Source organism: Homo sapiens, chromosome 9 (assembly GCF_000001405.40).
Source record: "Homo sapiens chromosome 9, GRCh38.p14 Primary Assembly".
NCBI lineage: Eukaryota > Metazoa > Chordata > Mammalia > Primates > Hominidae > Homo > Homo sapiens.
Genome location: NC_000009.12, coordinates 136,033,827 through 136,054,967, shown reverse-complemented (window position 1 = coordinate 136,054,967; position 21,141 = coordinate 136,033,827). Strand labels below are relative to the sequence as shown.

The 21,141-nt window shown below is 53.5% G+C and overlaps 1 protein-coding gene across 1 annotated transcript in view, besides 1 other annotated feature; it reads left to right on the top strand.

Annotated features, from left to right (window-relative positions):
- The window catches only part of NACC2 (NACC family member 2), an 88,753-nt gene that overhangs the window by 40,322 nt on the left and 27,290 nt on the right, over positions 1-21,141 (top strand). The window contains exon 2 of the mRNA NM_144653.5: positions 4,388-5,332. Coding sequence (NP_653254.1) covers positions 4,447-5,332 — 886 coding nt within the window. The 5' untranslated portion in view covers positions 4,388-4,446. The remainder of the gene's footprint in view (positions 1-4,387; positions 5,333-21,141) is intronic.
- Positions 3,247-3,823: an enhancer, noted in NCBI's record as "H3K27ac hESC enhancer chr1:223743486-223744062 (GRCh37/hg19 assembly coordinates)". NCBI's record gives its function as "activates a minimal SCP1, AML or CMV promoter by ChIP-STARR-seq in naive H9 embryonic stem cells {active_cell/tissue: H9 hESC(naive)}" and the evidence as "EXISTENCE:reporter gene assay evidence [ECO:0000049][PMID:30033119]".

Genomic DNA, 21,141 nt, shown 5'->3' with positions numbered 1-21,141 from the left:
CACCGAAGGCTGGCACAGCTGCAGGGAGTGGACTCGGGCCTTGGGTCACCTGCAGAGGTTCTCCAAAGTGGGTTCTGTTCTGAAGGGCGTTTTGAGAGCAAGGGTCGTTGGTGCCACAACCCTGAGGATGGCTGGGGTAAACAAAGTTGGCGACCTCTGATTTTTTGCCTGGCTCTGCAGAACTTTCCATAAGTGAATGAGTGTGTTGAATCTCACCGAGAAGGGGAAACAATAGGAGGTGTTGCTTGGGAAGCAAAGTGGTGGGGAAACTGAGTCACTGGAGAATGTGCAGGGGAGGGTGGGGATGCCCTGATGTCTGAGAACCAGGCTTGGCCCCTGCCCTCCTGAGCAGACAGCTCTGCTCACGTCCCTGGGCCCACCTGGGCCCTCGGCCCCCTCCTCTCTGGGTGTAGCAGGAGGGTCAGCCCCCGTGTGTCTGCTTTCCTGGCCCTGGGGGCGTGAGCCAAGCCTTTATTTTATTCTTTTCTCCTAAAGTTCAGCTTTGTTCTTGAGCCTTCCAAGAAAGCAACCTAAAACCAGCTCCTGTCCGGCTCTCAGCAGGCTGGGGCGTGGGGCTGCAGCCTCACCGGTGCAGGTGGCCTGAGGACAAGCCAGCAAAAGCTCCAGTTGTCCTCGATCCCCAGGGACCACACGGCCCCATCACCTTCAAAGGGAATAATGGTCCCTTCTCTGGGAGAGCTGGTCTGTCCCCCAGCCCTGGGGCTCCAGCTCCTGAGGTGCGGACGCAGGCCGAACTGGGCTGGGCGTTAAGACGCCCACCTGGATGCCCAGCTGAGAGCTGCTCTCCTGCCCAGGTCACAGCAGGTTGCAGGCATCACCGGCTTTCTGTGTGTGAGGCTTCAGCCGCCGGCTTCACAAACATTGTTCCATTCACCCCCAGGAACCATCTGAGGGTAAATCATAACCCCAGTTCACAGCTCAGCGTCTGAGGCTGAGGTGTCCTTACAGGAAGTGGCTGGTGCCCACGGGACCTAGGATTTCAGCCTTGCCAACAGGCCAGGACCCTCTTGCTGCTGGAAGGGACAGGCTGAGAGCCTACATTGTCCCTTGCTGTCTGTGTCAGCCCTGGCTGCTGCCCTACCCAGCCCAGGTACTTGGGACCCCCAGGAACCGGTGCGCCGTGCTGGCCTCTGCCTGTCCCCTCTTTTGGTACAAAAGCCCCTGTATGACTCAGACATCCCTACCCCCCCGTCCTTGGGGCGAAGTTGCCCACAACAGAAGCCACGGGCTCTCTGGGAGGCTCCTGGTGGTGGGCGCAGTGGGTCTGTGAAGGGAGCTGTCTAGGGGCCTCTGCCCTCTGTGCTGTGTTGCACAGGCCCCTCTCTTGTACCCCCCTGCCCGGGTTGTGTCCAGCATTCAGCCCTTGCCGAGCTTATGAGGGCACTTGGCAGACTTCCTGGATGAGGCAGAAACTAAGTGGGGACCTGAGGGTGGAGGGTGTGGCGGGGAGGGTGACAGCTGGGCCCTGTGTCTCCTGGCCCGGTGGAGCCCAGCTCATCAGCATGGCCGAGTGGGGACGTTTCTGTAAACGCCCCCATCCCAGTCTCCTTGAGTTGTCACCAGCCCCTTGTAGGAGGCAGAAAACACTAGGCACGAAGCCACCTCCACGGGCCTTTGCCGGCAGCTTCCCCGCACCTGGATCTCTTCCCGTCCCCATTCAGTGGCTTTTTGTCTGGTCTGGAGAAGCTGAGCCCATGGTGTGTGACTAGGGAGGAGCCAGATGGCCCTCTCTCTGGTCTCCGGATGCCTCAGAGGGGCGCCGGGAGTGAGGGGCAGGGCTGTGTCGCCTTGCCTCCCACCAGGCCTGTTCGGGCCTCCTCCGCATCCTGCTGCCAGGGTTACCCCGAGGGTGGTGGAGGCAGCTGGCCAAGCAGGAGGGGGCTCACCTCAAGGCCTCGAGCCTGGACCCTGCCCCTTCTTTTGGGTGGAATGTGCTCTTCCTGGGGGTCACAGCCAGTGGCAGGGAAACTGAGGCTGGGCAGTCCAGAGGTCAGCCTCAGGGCCCCACGCAGAGAGGCTGGTATGAGCCCAGGATGAAGTACACATTCTCTGGAGGGGTCCCGGGGCCACCACAAGTCCTGCACAGCAGCAGCCCCTTCCCAGGAAAAGGCTCAATAACAGCCAGACGCTGCAGACCCCCTTGGGCAGGAGGTGCAGCCTGTGTGGCCGCAGCCAGGAGTGTGCGGGAGGAGCGAGGCGGCCGCTTTGCCCTCTGCTGGGACCTCTCAGGCGGGGCTGCCCCTTCCGGCTCCTGGTTGCCCGGCCACAAAGTCGCTCTTTTCTTAAAGTGCCAGGAGGGCGCTGGGAGTGGGATGGGGAGGGGTGCTGGGGCTGGACTCCCGGGCCTGCCGCCTGGGCAGAGGACACAGCTCTAAGGCCCCCAGGACCTGGGGTGCCGCCTCACCCACCCACTGCCTGCCGTTTCTGTGCCTCTCTTCACCCCCTGCTGTACCTCCCCTCCCCTTCCCTGGCTCCCCTAGCTGTCCTGACCCCCTCACCCCCTCCCCCTGGCGCCTCTGCCCATTCCCCACCCTCGCTGGAGGAGTTCAGCTCTGCCAGCTCTGCAGACTGTTTGGAATAGTTTAAATGCTTTGACACTGGGGCTGTCCTGGAAGGCCGGGAGGCAGTTTACTGGGTAATTCATATGCAAAACTGCACCATAAATTTCCAGGCTGTCTCAGTTGCCGTGGCACCGGGAAGCATTTCTCCACTACTGTACAGTATTTCTGCCATCTTTGTTTGCATTGCAGTGAGTCATCAAAAGTCTGTCTCGTACCAGCACCCGGGGCCGCGCATTCCTCTGGCACCAACACTCCACTGTTTTTAAAGCCGGGGCTGGGAGCTGGCATTTACTTCGGCTCCCAAATCAAAGGCGGCTATTCATTCCCGAGCCGCCGGAACGTTCGTCTGCATCCGGCCCCTTCATTGAGATGCGGTGCGCTGCCCGGGAGGGCCGGCCTGGGTGCAGCTGAGCTGCGGCCGCGAGCCCAGCGCCCAGGCGCTCTGCCCTCCTCCTCCTCCTCCTCCTCCACCATCTCCTCCTCCTCCTCCTCCTCCTCCTCCTCCTCCTTGCCGGCTCCCTGCGCCCTCCCCGCCCCAGGGCTCCCGCTCCGTTTGCTGCATTCGCGGAGCAGCTGGGCAGGCGGGCTGCGTGCGGGGAGCCTGTCCTGCCAGGCGGAGCGGGCAGTGCCGGCCGGCGGCCGCAGCGGCTGAAGGTAGGTCTTCCCGACCGGCCGGCAACTTCTCCGCAGCGGGGGCACTGCGGGCCGCCCCCGGCGCGCGTCCACCTGCCCAGCTCCCGGCGCGGTGGCTCCGCCCTCCTCCCGCCACCCGGCGCCTCTGCGGCCGCCCGCACTTTCCTCCCGTGGGACACAGCGGCCTTTGTGCGGCCCTGCGGAGTTGGGCTGGCGCCTTCTGGGCCGCCCCCGCCCCCTCCGGAGTCCGCACCAGATAAACAGCGGCGCCCTCCCCAGCTCCCAGCCCCGGGGTCCGGGCAGCCCGGCGAGGGCTGGGACCCCTGTAGTCACCTGGGTTGGGGCCGGGCCGTCGGGATTGGCCCGCGTGGGGAGCGAGGCGAGCGGGGTGGGGGGCGTCCGCGAGTGGGGCTGCGACAGGCTTCCCAACTCCTGCCCTGGCGGCGGCTTGGGAACCTGGGTCTGGTCCGAGCCAGGAGAGCACGGGAGAACGGAGCGGGCGCGCCCAGGGTGGTCTCTCTGCGCGAGGGAGGAGTGGACGCGGCTTCAGCGGACTTCCCGGCACCCCCAGCCATTCCCTACCTGCCCGGGAGGCTCAGGGGGACTAGGGGACGCTGGCCCGCCTTCCCCGCAGGGGCCCTCTGCGAGGCTGCTCGGAGGGAAGAGAGGGAAAGCAAACCGCAAACTGCACAGCTCCAGAGACCCCCCTCCCTCCCTCCTTCCCCGCTGCTCCAGCGCGGCCCCTCCCGGGAGCTCCTGTGCGGGCTGGAACTTTTTTGAGGGGAGGAGAGTGGCTGCAGGTTTGCCCAGAGGCTCCCCCGGCGGCCCCCACCTCCTGTCCCGGGGCAGGTTCAGGCCTGCGCTCCTCCTCGCCTGCTGAGACCGAGTCGCTAAGAGCAGCCCCCTGGGAGTGGCGTGGGCGCACTCCTGCCGGGCAGCACCCCGGGGATCTGCAGCAGTGCTGGCCGGGCCCTCTTGCCCGTCTGCCAGGGGGTCTGGGAGACCCCGTGTCCCTTCTCTGGAGTGTCCCAGCCAGGAGGGGCGGGGGAGGGCGCGTGCGGAAGGCTCGCTCTTTGTAAGCCCCCGGCGGGGGAGGAGGGGGTGGGAACGGCCCCTTGAGCGGGGAGCCCGTGACCTGGAGGAACTGACCACGTGCCTCCTGCCCCCCACAGATGAGCCCCGCTAGGGCCGCCCCGCGCTGAGAGCCCAGCCCCGCCGCTGCCCGCCCGCCATGTCTCAGATGCTGCACATCGAGATCCCCAACTTCGGGAACACAGTGCTGGGCTGCCTGAACGAGCAGCGCCTGCTGGGCCTCTACTGCGATGTGTCCATCGTGGTCAAGGGCCAGGCCTTCAAGGCCCACCGGGCGGTGCTGGCCGCCAGCAGCCTCTACTTCCGCGACCTGTTCAGCGGCAACAGCAAGAGCGCCTTCGAGCTGCCCGGCTCCGTGCCGCCCGCCTGCTTCCAGCAGATCCTGTCCTTCTGCTACACGGGCAGGCTCACCATGACGGCCAGCGAGCAGCTCGTGGTCATGTACACGGCCGGCTTCCTGCAGATCCAGCACATCGTGGAGCGCGGCACCGACCTCATGTTCAAGGTGAGCTCGCCCCACTGCGACTCGCAGACCGCTGTGATCGAGGACGCCGGCTCCGAGCCCCAGAGCCCCTGCAACCAGCTGCAGCCGGCCGCCGCCGCCGCGGCCCCCTACGTCGTGTCCCCCTCGGTGCCCATCCCGCTGCTGACCCGAGTAAAGCATGAAGCCATGGAGCTGCCGCCGGCCGGCCCAGGCCTGGCCCCCAAGCGCCCGCTGGAGACGGGGCCCCGGGACGGCGTGGCGGTGGCCGCGGGGGCTGCGGTGGCGGCGGGCACAGCCCCTCTCAAACTGCCCCGTGTCTCCTACTACGGGGTGCCCAGCCTGGCCACCCTCATCCCCGGCATCCAGCAGATGCCCTACCCCCAGGGGGAGCGGACCAGTCCAGGCGCCAGCAGCCTGCCCACCACCGACAGCCCCACCTCGTACCACAACGAGGAGGACGAGGAGGACGACGAGGCCTACGACACCATGGTGGAGGAGCAGTACGGCCAGATGTACATCAAGGCCTCCGGCAGCTATGCAGGTAACGCGGCGGGGTGGAGCCCCACACCACCTGGCTGGGAAGCGGGGCCTGCCTGGGACCCGGGTGGCTCAGGAGGCCACTGGGCCGGAGGCCTGCGGGGCCACAGGGGAGCCCCCCACCAAGCCTGGAGGAGGTGGCAGAGCTCTGTTCACCATGGGGTTCAGACTTGGTCCTGGATGAGACAAGAACTCCTAGGAGACTCTGCCAGCCTGTAGGAAGGGTCTTGTCTCCACTGGATAGATGAGGAAACGCAGGTGTCCCGTGGCCCAGGGACCTGCCCCAGGGTTCACGTTCCCCGTCTGTGAAGGGCCTGGCGCCACGCGGTGTACGGGAGGACCCGCCTACTTCCCCTTTAACCTCAGTCTGCGCCTCACCCGGCCAGGTCTAGAGAGTCCCCTGAACCCAGCCCCTTTGCCACCACCTCTCCAGGCCCCGCGCCAGGGATGGGCCAGGAAGCGCCCAGTGTGCTGAGCCGAGTGAGCAGTCGCTCCCCCTCCTCTCCGTTCCTTTCTTTCAAGGAGGGCTGCTCCCCGTCCTGGGCCCCACAAACCCAGGTTGCCCTAATTGGAGATTCCTGGTTACAGCCTCTGGAGACTGTTCAGGCTTTGCTGGGCAGAGTCCCACAGTTGGTGCCCAGGATCGGGTGTCCCTGCAACCTGACTGTGTGTCTGGGCTGGCCACCTGGCTGGTCTGCATGCAGGGCCTGTGTGCAGCGGCCTGGGCCTGGGTGCGGGTGCATAATGCCAGCCACGGGCAGGTGGTGGACCCCGAGGGGCAGTGTAGGGACTCTCTCCACCCCACCACGCATATCCCTGTGCCCTGATGGGACGCCCCCCTGCCCTTCCCCTCCTGCAGTGCTGGTTGGGGGCAGAGGGGGCCAGGACCACCCACCAGCTTGGACCCCTAGGCCAGCTGGGTCCCTGTGCAGCGTCTGTCACCACAGCCGGGACAGCAGGGTAACCACTGCTTTGGCCAACCTGGCTCCCTCTCCGCCTGCAGGAGAAGCCACTGCCTTGCCAGCAGGTGCTCTGGGCTCCGTGGTGTCTTCCTGAGAACTCCGCACTTGGTTTAAATGTATATTGCTGTGTTTGCATGAATCCCACAGAATGCCAGCTCACAGGCCACCTCGATCTGGGCTTCACAGCTTTTGTTTTCTTTTAGTGGTAGGGGGTAGGGCTTGATTTGTCCTGAGACTGGGAGCTTTGCTAGCTACGGAATTGGCCCTTCCTGAGGGCAGAGCACACCGGGCTCCGGCTCACCACAGAGGCCGTACAGGATGTCAGTGCTTGTGGACCCGGCTGGCTGAGGCCTCCGGGGAATCCGCCCCATGTGCGCTTTCCCTCTGCCCCTGCTGACAGCCACCCCAGGGAAGGCAGGGGACCAGCCAGAGGCTGCTGGGGAAGGCTCCCAAGGCCCACCCAGGGCCCCTGTTGGGAAGGAGCTCTGTCCATGGGCTCCAGTCCCAGGGCAGAACCCCAGACAGGCTGGGCACCCCTACAGTCCCTGAGGACATCCCCCATTGATGGCAGCCAGACAGTGCCCTGCCGACAATGGCAGCCAGACAGGGCCCTGCCGACGGGTTGCCGACGGGTCAGGGAGCTGCACCATGGAGATGGAAACAGACCCATCGTATCCAAACATCTTCCCAGGGTCCTCCCTGCACAGCCCCCTGCTGCTCCAATGTGACCTTGGGCCTTGGTGTGTTTGGGGTGATGGGAGCCAGGGCTGGGTGTCGGGTTTGCTGGGAGCACGGTGAAGCCTCGTGACTTGTCCCATGCATCTGCCCCTGGGTGCTGGGTCAGCCTTAAGCCCTCACATCGCCTGGACTTCGTGAGCTAGAAGCCCTCACGCCCACCTGCCTTGATGGGTTTTTGGGGAGTCAGCAGGACCGCAGCCAGGAAGCGGCTCTGTGGAGTCCCGGATGTGTGTTGGGTGGGGACGGGAGGCAGCTGCTCTGGTGAGTCCTTCCCTCCAACTCCCCCGTACTCAGACCACACGAGGTACAGTCCCATTGGGGCTGAGGGGTGGGGACACCCTCAAGGCCATGTTCCTGCAGGGCTTTGTCCAGGCCGCAGGTGCTGCGCGGCATTCTCTGCCTTTGCACGGGTGTCGCTGATGCCAGCGAGGTGGAAAGTGGGCGGCTGGGAGGCCAGGCCTGCTCCCGCCCACCTACCATACAGTTTGGCTCTGGATGCCACAGTCTGGGTTTCTTGTCATGGTTTTTCTGTTCGGCAAGCCCATAAGTGGGGCAGAGAAAGGGGGTGTGTGATTTCTTGGTTAAAATCTAGGTTACTGGCTGTGACGTTGCTGGCGTCGCTGGGTGTGCTGGGTTGGCGGTGCCATGGGGGGAGCAGGTAGAGGGAGGGGCCGTCGCCTGACCTGGAGCTGCCCCTGGGTGCTAGCTCCCCGTGCCCTCCGTGTCCCGGGCTCGTCCGGGGAACGTCCTCACACCCACGCAGGAGGCTGGCTGCTGCCCTCGCCAGGCCGTGCAGGAGTGGAGGCAGGTAGCTGTCTCTCTGGGCTGGTAGGACTAGCGTGTTCTAAGGTCCCTGCAGGCTGAGCTCCTCCTCCTCCCTGGCCTCAGTCTCCCTACCTGTTGAGTGAGAGGCGGGCCTGAGCGATTGCCGAGGGTCCCGGAGCTGCACCTTGGTGTGTGGTAATGCGTGTGCCTGTTCCACCCTCTCTCGCGTTAAGAACCATGGACAGTTTGTCCTGTAGGGCTGTTCTCCTGTTTTTGAAATAAGTCAAAATATTACAGATAAAGTTAATTGCCTTTTGTCCCCGGCACAGCCCCCGCCCCATGGTCTGTGTGGCCTCACGGCAAGGGTCTCCATGCGGTGTCTGTCTCGTGCCTCTCCTCCCTCCCTCCAGGTCCCGCGTCACCACCCGTCAGAAGGAGCCGCCACGTTTGATTTCTCCAGTGCCTTATCAAAGGACATTCAGGTTGTTTTCAGTTTGTTGCAGTCAGGAGCAAAGCTGCGAGAAGGCGCCATGCATGGGTGTGTGAGGTTGATGGGGCCGAGTTCAAGCCCCCCCACCCGCAGCGAGGCAGGCCCCGTCTCGGTCCCCATCAGGTGGACGCTGGCTCGGGACGCTCAGTGCTTCCCACCCACCAGCCCTCATCTCTGCAGCAGTCACTTCAGGGCGCCCTCCTGGGCCTTAAGCCATCACCCCTGCGGCAGGCAGGGACCTTCCTCCTGGCCCTGTGGCCGGCAGCCTCGGGAGACCCCGGAGCAAGATGAGCTGGGGGTGGGGTGCACCCAGGGGTGAAAGAAAAACATCGTATCCACCGGAAGGGAAACGCCCAGTGCAGTTCCCCTCTGGCTGATGGGGAAACCTCCCAGAGGGTGAGGCGCAGGCGTCCCTGCCTGGCGTTGTCAGGGGCCTTGCATCTGAGCTAGAGATTGCGAAATGCCTGCCTCCGCCTCCCCTGCACCCCCATCCCTTCCCGCCCCACCACGGGGGTGAGTCAGGGGCCAGCCCCTCCAGAGAGCAGGAGGTGGGCCGGGCAGAGGGAGCCTGTGCCTTGGGACTTGGTGGTGCTGTGGCCTGAGCGGGAGCCCCTTTCCTCTTCGGGCCCTCTTCCTCGCGTACCCGCCTTCATTCCCCCAGGGTGCGGCTGCATTCCCGCTGGGGCTCAGGGCTCGGGGGCATCTGAACGTCCAGCAGGGACACCGGGAGCCGGGGCTTCCCCGGCAAGGCAGCCGGCCGGGTGGGCAGCGCCAGCTGGGGCTGGGCTTGGGGTGGGGGCTCCCCAGCTGCGCTCAGGGGTCTGTTCCCGTGGTCTCCTTGGCACATCTGGATCCACAGGTCCCTGCAACAGCCGAGACGGTCATGGCAGCTGCTTTTACCCCAGGGCAGATGACAGCACGGGGCCCTGACGGTTATTTCATTGAGTGGGGGTGGCCGTTGTCACCCAAGCTGAGGACGGGCACCTGTGGCATGGCAGACCGCTGAGGTCGAGGGACAGGGAAATGGAGCTCGCAGAGGGAAGGGGTAGTGCCATGCTGGGGCTTCTCTCCTGTCCTCTGAAGGGGAGGGGGCTGCCCGGACCTGCGCCCACACCCCCTCCTGTGCCTGATGGGGCTCGCCCGGCCATCCCTTTCATGCCCTCAGCAGTGGCTTCGGGCGGGCAGATGTTTAATTGCAGCTGGCAGATGTCACTCTGTGTGGCTGGCAGAGACAAAGCCACGCCTGGGTATTGACACCAGCTGCACACTTCCACGGTAACCCTTTCCCAGCAGGGGACAGCTCTGGCCACAGGGCCCGTGGGCCCGTGACGGTAACCCTTTCCTGGCAGGGGACAGCTCTGGCCACAGGGCCTGTGGGCCCGTGAGTGGGTGGCCCTGTGCATGTCCGCTTCCCCTTCCCTTCTGGCTCCCTCCACCCCCACCTCTCTGGGGTCCACCCGGTGTCCCCTGTGTGCCTCTCTGCAGGGCATGGGGGTCAGGCACCCATCCCTAAGCTGGGTACCCACTTCCATGGGGCGGTCTGAACTCAGGCAAAACAGGCAAAGTTGGAACTGCTCAGGGTCCAGGAGACCCTCCCATCCAGCCTCAGACCAGCTGCCCACATCCTGGACCCTGGACAGATGCCACTGGGTGTGGGTCGTGGCACACAGCAGCACATCTGTCCTGGCTCTGCCCATCAGGAGAGGCCTGCTGCGGGCCCCACCCTTTTCAGGGTGACCTGCAAGGTCAGCACTGGCCCCGTCCATCCCCCGGCTGAACACCCAGGCTTGGGTGGGGTGCTCCCGGCCCTGGGCCACAGAACCCAGGTGGCCAGGGCTGCTGGCTAGGGTGGTCTCCGTTGCAGCCACTCACCCCCCACCATTACCCATCCGGAAGGTACACCTGCCCGGTCGGGGAGCAGGGCTGTATGTCCGAGGCCGCTCCCACCAGCAGCTCAAAACTCAGGACTGTTGTTTGGGGTTCCCAGAGAGAAGCAAGAAGAGGGGCTGAACTTGGGGTTGCTGAGTATGCAAATCGCACCATCGTCCCCACTCTGCTGCCTTGTGGCCTGGGACGGGGGCGTCCGCACTGTTAGAGCCCCCCCACCACCACCCAGGGAGCAGAGGGTGCCTTCATCTCTGGCCTGGATAGGGTGGGGCCCAAGAGGAGGCCCCAAGCAGAGATGGCCAGACCGGGGAGTGCCGTTGGCTGCAGGGGTCGGGGGTGAAGGGTTCCTTCTGCTTTGAAGGGCCAATACCCCTGCAACTCAGGCCTTCCGAGGAGCCGAGACCACAGTCATGTGCCGCTATGCCCAGCTAATTTTGTAATTATTTATAGAGACAGGGTCTCGCTATATTGTCCAGGTGGCCTCGAATTCCTGGGCTCAAGAAATCCTCCCGCCTCAGCCTCCCAAAAAGCTGCGATTACAGGTGGGAGCACCGCACTGGACCATCTGTCTGCTTTCATCAGCATCCTGTAGATATGGTGCATCTGTGGTGTGGCCCGTCTAGGCCATTGTTCTCTCCTCCCCGCCTTTTTTGCTTGCTAAAGTATTTGTATTGGCCAGGCGTGGTGGCTCACCCCTGTAATCCCAGCACTTTGGGAGGCTGAGGTGGGCAGATCTCTTAAGGTCAGGAATTTGAGAGCTGGCTGGCCAACATGGCGAAACCCCTTCTCTACTGAAAATACAAAAATTAGCCGGGTGTGGTGATGCACGCTTGTAGTCCCAGCTACTCTGGAGGCTGAGGCAGGAGGATCACTTGAACAAGGAGGCAGAGGCTGCAGTGAGCTGAGATTGCGCCACTGCACTCCAGCCTGGTGACAGAGCGAGACCCTGTCCCCAACCAAAAAACAAAAACCAAAAGTATTTGTATCCTTTACAAAGTGTGCCATCAGTGAGTTCACTGTGCAATCAAGTGCAATGTTGCAATCAACATACAGAACAGTTCCCTCCTGTAGAATGTTACCCTGGGGTTCTTTGCACAGAGTCGTCTACCCCATCCTGGCCCCACGGGACCACCACCCTGCTGCCTCCTACTGCCCTTTTGCTTCTCATAGGATCCCTGTGCGTGAGACCGTGCAGCGGTAGATCCTGTATATTTCCGTGTGTCATGGTTTCTGTTCGTCATGTGGTTGAACGCATGAGGCCAAGGGGCTGCATGAGGCCGCACTCCCACCAGCAGCCCGTGAGAGCAGCAGGCGCCCCACGGCCTTACGGCAGCCGGGGTTCTCTGTCAGCCTTGACGTTTCAGCCCTTCCTCGTGGGTGGAATATCAGTGACATCCCATTGTAGTTTCTATTTGCATTTCCCTGATGGTCAGTAACGCTGAGCACGTTTCACAGGTTGAATAAGCCGTACTTTATAACTTTTATTGTGACGTATTTCTTCAGATCTTTTGTCCATTTTTTAAAAATTAGATTTTAAGAGTTCCCTATATAATTTGCAAGTAAGTTCACATATGGGTATTGCGGGCATTCTCTCCTAGTCTGACCTGCCTTTTCATTATTGTAATGGTGACTCTCAAAGACCAGAAGTTTTAAATTTTGATGAAGATCAATTTATTAAAGTTGTATTTTACGGCTAGTGCTTTTTGTAGCCTGTTCGAGAAATCCTTGTCTACCTAAAATTCTGTGTTCTGTGTGTGTGTGTCTGTGTGTGAATTCCTGCCTATCCAGGATGGGGCAACACTGTGTCTGTGTGTCTGCGTCTATGTGTGTGTCTCTGTGTGTCTGTGTGTGTCTGTCTGTCTCTGTGTGTGTCTGTTTGTCTCTGTGTCTCTGTGTGTGTCTGTATGTGTCTGTGTGTGTGTCTGTTTGTCTCTGTGTCTCTGTGTGTGTCTGTATGTGTCTGTGTGTGAATTCCTGCCTATCCAGGATGGGGCAACACTGTGTCTATGTGTGTGTGTGTCTGTGTGTCTCTGTGTGTGTGTCTCTGTCTCTGTGTCTGTGTGTGTCTGTGTCTGTGTGTGTGTCTCTGTGTCTGTGTGTGTGTCTGTGTGTGTATGTCTGTGTGTCTGTGTGTGTTTCTGTGTGTGTGTGTCTGTGAGTCTGTGTGTGTTTTCTTGCAAAAGTCTTAACAGTTTTGCTCTGATGGTCTAGTGGATGGTTCATGTTGGGCTCGTTTTTGCAGAAGGGGTCAGGTAGTGGGAAGGTTCATTTCCTTCCCCTGTGGACGTCCAGTCATTGCAGCACCAGGTCTCCACTGAATTCCCTTCACACCTTTGACAAGAATCAGTCGAATACGTACCTGCAGGCCTATTTCTGGATTCTGTTCGGTTCCATTGATCTGTGTGTCTGTGCTTATGCCAGATACCCCCCGTCAGGATTACTGTAGCTTTAATTCTTGAAGTCAGGTTGTGTAGGTCTTCAACTTCATTTTCTTATTGAAAATTGTTTTGGGCTGGACAAGGTGGCTCACACCTGTAATCCCAGCACTTTGGGAGGCCGAGATGGGTGGATCACCTGAGGTCAGGAGCTCGAGACCAGCCTTGCCAACATGGTGAAACCCCATCTCTACTAAAAATACAAAAATTAGCCAGTGTGGTGGCATGCGCCTGTAGTCCTAGCTGCTGAGGAGGCTGAGGCGAGAGAATCCCTTGAACCCAGGAGGTGGAGGTTATAGTGAGCCAAGATCGTGCACTCCAGCCTGGGCCACAGAGTGAGACTCTGTCTCAAAAAAAAAGAAATTGTTTTGAAGGATTATCGTAGTCCTTTGCTGTTTGCTGATCTCTAACTAAAAGATTACTAAAATGTTGATCGATGTTGCACTGATTCTGTAAATCAGTTTGAGAAGAACTGACCTCTTAACAATATTGAGGCTTCTAATCCATGAAGAAAGTACATCTCTCAATTTCTTGCCACTGTAATTTCCCCCAGCTTTTAATATATGGATGTCATTCATAGATGTAATAGCTTTATTGAGACGTAATTCACACGCCATACTGTTCATCTGTTTAAAGTAATAATCCAGTGTTTTTTTTGTATATTCAGAGCTGTGTGGCCATCACTACAATCAATTTTGGAATATTTCTGTCATCCCCCAAAGAAACCCCTTGGCATTTGGCAGATATTTCTATTTCCCCGTATTCCCTTCAGCCCTAGACAAGCACTAGTCTACTCTCTGTGTAGATTCCTATTCTGGGCACTTTGGTTCAATGGAATCGTATGATATACTGTGACTGGCTTTTTTCTTTTGGCATCAGGAATCACCCATGTTGAAGAATAGGTCAATGCTTCATTTTTTTCTTTATTTCTTTTTTTTTTTTTCTCAGATCATGTCTCACTCTTACCCAGGCTGGAGTGCAGTGGTGCGATCTCGGCTCACTGCAGCCTCCGCCTCCTGGGTTCAGGCAGTTTCTGCCTCAGCCTCCTGAGTAACTGGGATTACAGGAACCCGCCACCATGGCAGCTGATTTTTTGTATTTTTAGTAGAGACGAGGTTTCACCACATTGGCCAGCCTGGTCTCGAACTCCTGACCTCAAGTGATCTGCCTGTCTTGGCCTTCCAAAGTGCTGGGATTACAGGCATGAGCCACTGTGCCCAGCCAAGAATGCTTGCTTGCTTCCTTCCTTTCCTTCCTTCCTTTCCTTTCCTTTGCTTCCTTCCTTTCCTTCCTTCCTTCCTTTCCTTCCTTCCTTCCTTCCTTTTCTTTCCTTCTTTCCTTTCCTTTCCTTCCTTCCTTTCTTTCCTTCCTTTCCTTCCTTTTCTTTCTTTCTTTCTTTCCAGGGTCTCACTCTCACTCTGTCGCCTGGGCTGGAGTGCAATGGCACAATCTCTACTCATTGCAGCCTCTGCCTCCCAGACTCAAGGAGTCCTCTAGCCTCAGCCCCCAGAGTAGCTGGAACTACAGGCGTGCACCACCACACCCGGCTAATTTTTTTGCGTTTTTGTAGAGACAGGGTTTCACCATGTTGCCCAAGCTGGTCTTGAACTCCTGGGCTCAAGCCATCTACCTGCCTTGGCTTCCCAAAGTGTTGGGATTATAGGTGTGAGCCACTGCGCCTGGCCATTTTTCTTGTGAAGTCAAATTCCATTGTGTGGATAATGCCACATTTTATTTATCAGTTCAGTAGTGGATGGACTTTTGGAATGTTTCCGCTTGTTGGCTATTTTGAATAATGCGGCTGTGAGCATTTAGGTACAAGTCTTTACAGACATGTGTTTTGCATGTTTGCCTACATACCTAGGAGTAGAATTGCTGATGTTACATATTTTTTGCATGTATTTCTCCGTTCTCCTATTTTATTTTAATTTGATGTGTTTGTGAATTATATTGTTTATAATTTCATTTTCCAATTGTTTATTTTCAGTACATAGGAATAAAGTTGATTTTTTTTTTTTGAGACGGAGTCTTGCTCTGTCGCCCAGGCTGGAGTGCAGTGGTGTGATCTTGGCTCACTGCAACCTCTGCCTCCTGGGTTCACGCCATTCTCCTGCCTCAGCCTCCCGAGTAGCTGGGAATACAGGTGCCCGCCACCACGCCCGGCTAATTTTTTGTATTTTTAGTAGAGACAGGATTTCACCATGTTAGCCAGGATGGTCTCAATCCCCTGACCTTGTAATCCACCCGCCTCAGCCTCCCAAAGTGCTGGGATTACAGGAGTGAGCCCCTGTGCCCAGCTGGAATAAAGTTGGTTTCTTTGTATGTTGACCTTGTATTCTACAACCTTGCTACCTTTAGTGATTAGTTCTAATAGCTTTCCGTAAATTCCTTGGCATTTCCTACATAGGCCATCATCCTGTTTGTGAATAAAGACAGTTTTACTGCAGTTTGCACACCTTGTATTTCTGGATCTCCACTCCAGATTGAGTGGAAGTGGTGAAAGCAAACATCTCTTTGCCATGCTCTCTCTCGGGGGGAACATATCAGCCTTTCTTTGTTACGTGTGATGTCACTTGTAGTTTTTGCATGGCTGCATTTGACCAGTTTGTAGAAGTTTCTATCTATGCAAGTGATTTTGTGGGTGTTCTTAGTTTTGTTCATATGGTGTATTGCATCAGTTAGTGTTCCAGTATTGAACCACCCTTGCATTCCTGGGAGAAACCTCACTTGGTCATTTTGTATTACAGTGTTTACATATATTGCTAGATTCAACTTGCTGATATTTTCTCAAGGAATTTTGCATTTATGTTCATGAAGGTTATTGATCTGTAATTTTCCTCTAATGTCTTTGTCTGGTTTTGGTATCCACATTATGCTGGCTTTATGTTCCCTTCTCCTTTGTTTTTTCGAAGAGTTGATATAAGCTTGATGTTGTTGAAGTGTTTGATAAACTTGTCTTACCAGCGAAGCCACTTGGGCCTGGGGTTTGTTGCTGTTGTTAATTGTGGGAAGGCTTTTAATTACCAATTTACTGTAATTAGCAGCATTCTTACCAATTACAATTGACTTTAATTACCAATATTACTTTAGACATAGAACTATTAGGATTTTCTCTTTCATCTTGTTCTAGTCATGGTAATGGTCTTTCATGTCATTTATCCATCTCTGAAGTCACTTTGATATCACCATAGCACTTCAGCTTTCTTATATTTAGTATTTGTGTGGTTTTGGCTCTTTTTGTCCTATTGCTTTTAACTTACCTGTGTCTTAAAGTGTATTTTTTAGAGACGGCATATGGTTGGGATTTGCATTTTTATGCAGTCTAACAGTCTGCCTTTTATTTGGAATCTTTAGACCATTTACATTTGCTGTTACTTTCAGTGGCTTTAGGTGTACGTCTACCATCTTGCTATTTGTTCATTTACCTTTTCTCCTTCCCTGCATGTTTCTCTGTTGAATATGATCGTTTTTAGCTCCACGATTGCTTACTAGCTATTCCTGCTTCTGCCTCAGTTGTTTAGCAATTGCTCTAGACCGCACGGTAGCATCTCTCACTTCCCTCAGCCCACCTCCTCAATTGTGCGATGCCCCTCGTGCATAACTTAAGACCCTTAAAATGGTATATTCTCATGTTCCTCCTCCAGTCCTTTGTGCTAATGTTGTCCTGCACTTAACATCAGGCTTATAGCATATGAAGAAGTAATTTTTACCATAAAGTAATCTTTTTCCATTTTTAATAACTTTTAAATTTTACATATTATAACATTTCCTCTTTGATGTACAATTTGGAAGTTTAAAAAAATTTATATTATTATTACTTTTTGAGACATAATCTCACTCTGTCACCCAGGCTGGAATGCAGTGGCACGATCTCAACTCACTATACCCTCTGCCTCCCGGGCTCAAGCCATCTTCCCATCTCAGCCTCTTGAGTAGCTGAGACTACAAGCACATGCCACCACACCCAGCTAATTTTTGTGGATTTTTTTTGTAGAGACAGGATTTCAGCACGTTGCCCAGGCTGGTCTGGAACGCCTGGGCTCAAGCAATCCACCGGCCTTGGCCTCCCAAGGTGCTGGGATTATAGGCATGAGCCACCACGCCCAGCCTGGTGTTTAAAAAAATACGTATAGTCATGTAGTCACCTCCCCAGTCAAGATATAGAACAATTTCATCACTCTAAACTCATCCTGCCCCTTTGTGGTCATTTCCCCCCGCTTCCCCTGACTCCCGGCCACCGCTAATCTGTTTCCTGGCTTATAGATGGTGTTGTATACAGTATGTGGCCTCTTGGATCTGAATACATTTTGAGATTCATTCATGTTGTATTAGCATTGATTCTTTTTTGTTGCTGAGTAAGTAGTATTCCATTGTATGGCCACACCACAATTTGTGTACGCATTCACTGGTTAAAGGACATTAGGTTTTTAATAATTATGAACTAAGCTGCCATAAACATGTGTGTACTGGATTTTGTATGCACTTAAGTTTTCATTTTTTTTTTAACCATATAACCTACTCTTAGGTTAATTGACCCAATAGAAATGAAAACTTGGCCAAGCACAGTAGTTCATGCCTGTAATCCTAGCACTTTGGGAAGCCGAGGTGGGAGGATCACCTGAGGTCAGGAGATCGAGACCAGCCTGGCCAACATGGTGAAACCCCATCTCTACTAAAAATACAAAAAATTAGCCAGATGTGGTGGCGGGTGCCTGTAATCCCAGCTACTTGGGAGGCTGAGACAGGAGAATCGCTTGAACCTAGGAGGCAGAGGTTGCAATGAGCTGAGATTGCACCACTGTACTCCAGCCTGAGTGACAGAGCTAGACTCTGTCTCAAAAAAAAAAAAATGAAAATTTAAGTGCATACAAAATCACATATGCACATGTTCATGGCAGCTTAGTTCATAATTACTAATGAGTAATTAGTAATGAATATGCAAACTGTGGTATGGCCATACAATGGAATACAAAAATTAACCAGGTGTGGTGTGTGCCTGTAGTTCCAGCTACTCGGGAGGCTGAGGCAGGAGAATCGCTTGAACCCGGGAGGCAGAGGTTGCAATGAGCCGAGATCACACCACTGCATTCCAGCCTGGGCAAGAGTGAGATTCCATCTCAAAAAAAGAAAAAACTTTATATAAAAATATCTGCCTAAGTGAGGTAAACCTTGCATAAAATAAAAGGCATCAGCTTTCCTTGTGTAATTTATTGTCACCTTCATCTTTCAAGGAAGCTTTTGCTGCATATAGAATTCTAGGTTGACGGTTCTTTTTTGCTTTCAGTACTTTAAGGGTGTCATATTCTTTGTCTTCTGGATTGCCCAGGAAATCACAGTCATCCTTATCTATGTTCTTCTGTGTTTATTGTGTCTTCTTCTTAGGCTGCTTTTATCTCATGTTTGCAGTAATTTGACTATTAGATGCCTTTGTGTTGCTTTGTATTTATTCTGCTTAGGATTTGTTGAGCTTTCTGAACACGTGCATTTTTACTTTTTTAAAAAATCAAATTTGGGATTTTAAAAATTATTGTTTCTTCAAATATTCTTCTGCCCCTTACCCTCTAGAAGTTAAACTAAATGTATGTTTTTGTCACTGAGGTTCTGATTATTATTTAGACTTTTTCTTCTATAGGCTTTCAGCCGAGTAATCTCTGCTGTGGTTTCTTCATGCTCAAGGGCTTTCTTTTCTAAAGTTCTGTTTTGTTCTTTTTTATACTTTCCATTTCTCCCCTCATTCCTGTTTTGTTTTATAATGCTCTGATCATGTTTATAATAGCCAGTTGTCAGCTAATATACGTGTGTATATATATGTATATGTATATGTGTGTATTTATATAGATGTATGTGTATGTGTGTATATATATGTATTTATGTGTGTGTGTATGTATATATAAAATAACCTGTATCAGCTAATGCTAGCATTTTGTCATTTCTTGGTCTGTTTCTGTTTACTGATTTTTCTTCTCCTTAAGGTGACCTTTCTGTGGTTTTTCACTTGTTTGTTTTTTTTAATAGATGCTGGACATTGTAATTGTTACATTGTTGAGCATCTCCAAGTTGCCGTCCTTGATTCTCTCACAGTGGTATTAGGTAGAATTTCAATAATGAGTCATGACGTTGGGCACATTCTCATAGGCTTATCAGCCACTTGGACATCCTCCTTTGTGAAGTGCCTATTTAAATATTTTGCCCCACTTCTTCGCAGAGTGAGTTATCTGTCCTTTTCTTGCCACTTTGCACGTTCTACACTGTGAATTGGCATCCTTTGTCAGACACGTAAGTAGCTTCTCCCACTGTGCAACTTTCCGTTTTGTTAATATAATTTTTTATAGTGAAGTTTATCAAACTTTTTGTACAATAGCAGTTTTTATATCCTATTTAAAGAAATTTCTTCCTCCCTCAGGATCATGATGATGTTCTATGTTTGTAAAAAAACAAAAAACACACATTGTTTTGAAATCATTTTCAACTTGCAGAAAAGTTGTAAGATAAGTACGGAGAACTTCTGTATCCCCTTCACAATTGGTAGGAATTTACCACATCTGCTCTGTCATTCTTTTTACATGTAGAGGTTTTTCACTAAACCATTTGAAAGTAAGTTGCAGATATTATGCCCTTTACATCAAAAGGCTGAACTTTTTTTTTTTTTTAACAAACAAGGACATTCTCTTATATAATCACAGTACGCTGTGCAAAATTCAAGAAGTGTTATCTCAATCCATCATCCTCATGTAACTACAGACTGTACCTTTTTCCAGTTGTCTCAATATTGTTCTTTAGAGCAGTGGTTTTTTCCCTGATGTGGTATTTAATCCAGAATCACACATTGCATTTTGTGGTTCTTCTCTTTCATCTCTTTATTCTAGAATAGTGTCTCAGCCTCTATCTTTTTTGACACTGATCCTTTGAAAAGCGCAGTTCATTATTTTGTAGAATGTCCCTCTCTTTAGGTTTGTCAGGTTTCTCCTCAGGACTGGGGTCAGGTTGTGCATTTCAGCTGCAATTCACAGCAGCGGAACCTTCTCAGTGCGTCACAGGAGTCACGTGACACCACTTTGGCTCAATATTGGTGATGTTCCTTTGATGGTTTGGTGCAGGTGGTCTCTGCCAGGTGGTCACTGTTCTCCCCTTTGTGAGAAGAGGCTGTGTAAATATCCTGCCTGTCCTCAGCCTTCCATCCATTAATTCTAGTATTTATTGATGATTCCTGCCTGAATCAGGTACTGCTCTCTGATGGGTGCAAATAGGATTGGTTTTTGTTTTGTTTTTGAGATGGAGTCTCGCTCTGTCACCCAGGCTGGAGTGCAGTGGCGTGATATCAGCTCACTGCAACCTCTGCCTCCTGGGTTCAGGTGATTCTCCTGCCTCAGCCTCCCAAGTACCTGGGATTACAGGCACCCACCACCATGCCCGGCTAATTTTTGTATTTTTTGTAGAGATGGGGTTTCAGCATGTTGGCCAGGCTGATCCTAAACTCCTGACCTCAGGTGATCGGCCCGCCAGTGCCTTCCAAAATGCTGGGGTTACAGGCATGAGCCACTGTGCCTGGCCCCCAATTATGATTATTTCTAACTCCACAACTCCCATATTTACTAGTTAGCAGTCTTACAGGAAAGAGCTTCCCCTATATCCCCCACTCACTGGTTTTATTCCTTCATTTATTGTTACTATTTATTTACTATCAGTGTAGACTTTTTTTTTTTTTTAAAGCATTTTCTTGCTTTCAGCAAAACATTCCAGGCGCATCCTAGACTTTCTGGTTCCTAGCCCTAGAATCAGTTATTTCTCCTGTAGTGGGGAATTTAGAAACCAGGATCTTGGTGCTAGATTTGTTCATTGCCACTAAGTATTTTTGTTTTTATAGCCTTTTAGCAGTCAGAGCTAGGAATTTACATATTTAAGAATTGTGGGTTCATACTGATACTCTCCAAAGCAATCAACACTCTGGGGTTCTTCCTGACCTTCCTCCCTTCCTTTTTTCTTTTTCTCTTCCTATTTTTCTTTCCTAATAGTCAAGATTCGGACTCTCTTACGATTTGTTATTAAAGACTTTCAGATCTGTAGTACGTCTGGCATGGATTTTTGTGTGTGCTGTGATCCAGGGCTCAAAATTCACTTGTTCCCGTTTTACTTTCCAGTGGACCTACGTTCTCCCTGAGAAGGTCTTTTCCGCCGCTGGCCTGCGGGGCCCTTTGCTGTGTATCAGGAGTCTGTAAATTATATGTGTTTGTAATTGAACTCTGTTCTATACCCTTGATCTCTCTGTTTTTCCCTATGGCAGTACATGTTTTTAAAAATTTTTTCTGAATCTTTCTAAATATTTTCTCTAACTCTTTCAGGTTTGAGTTCCTTATGATTTGCCTTGCGTTGGCTATTTTTTGCATTTTCATATGCTTTTCAGAAGTAGATTGCCAAATATCTCACACACACACACACACACACACACACACACACACACACACACACACCTGCTGGAATTTGATTGGGATTGCATTGATTCTTTTGACTGATGCGGGGTGACCTGACATTTTTACCG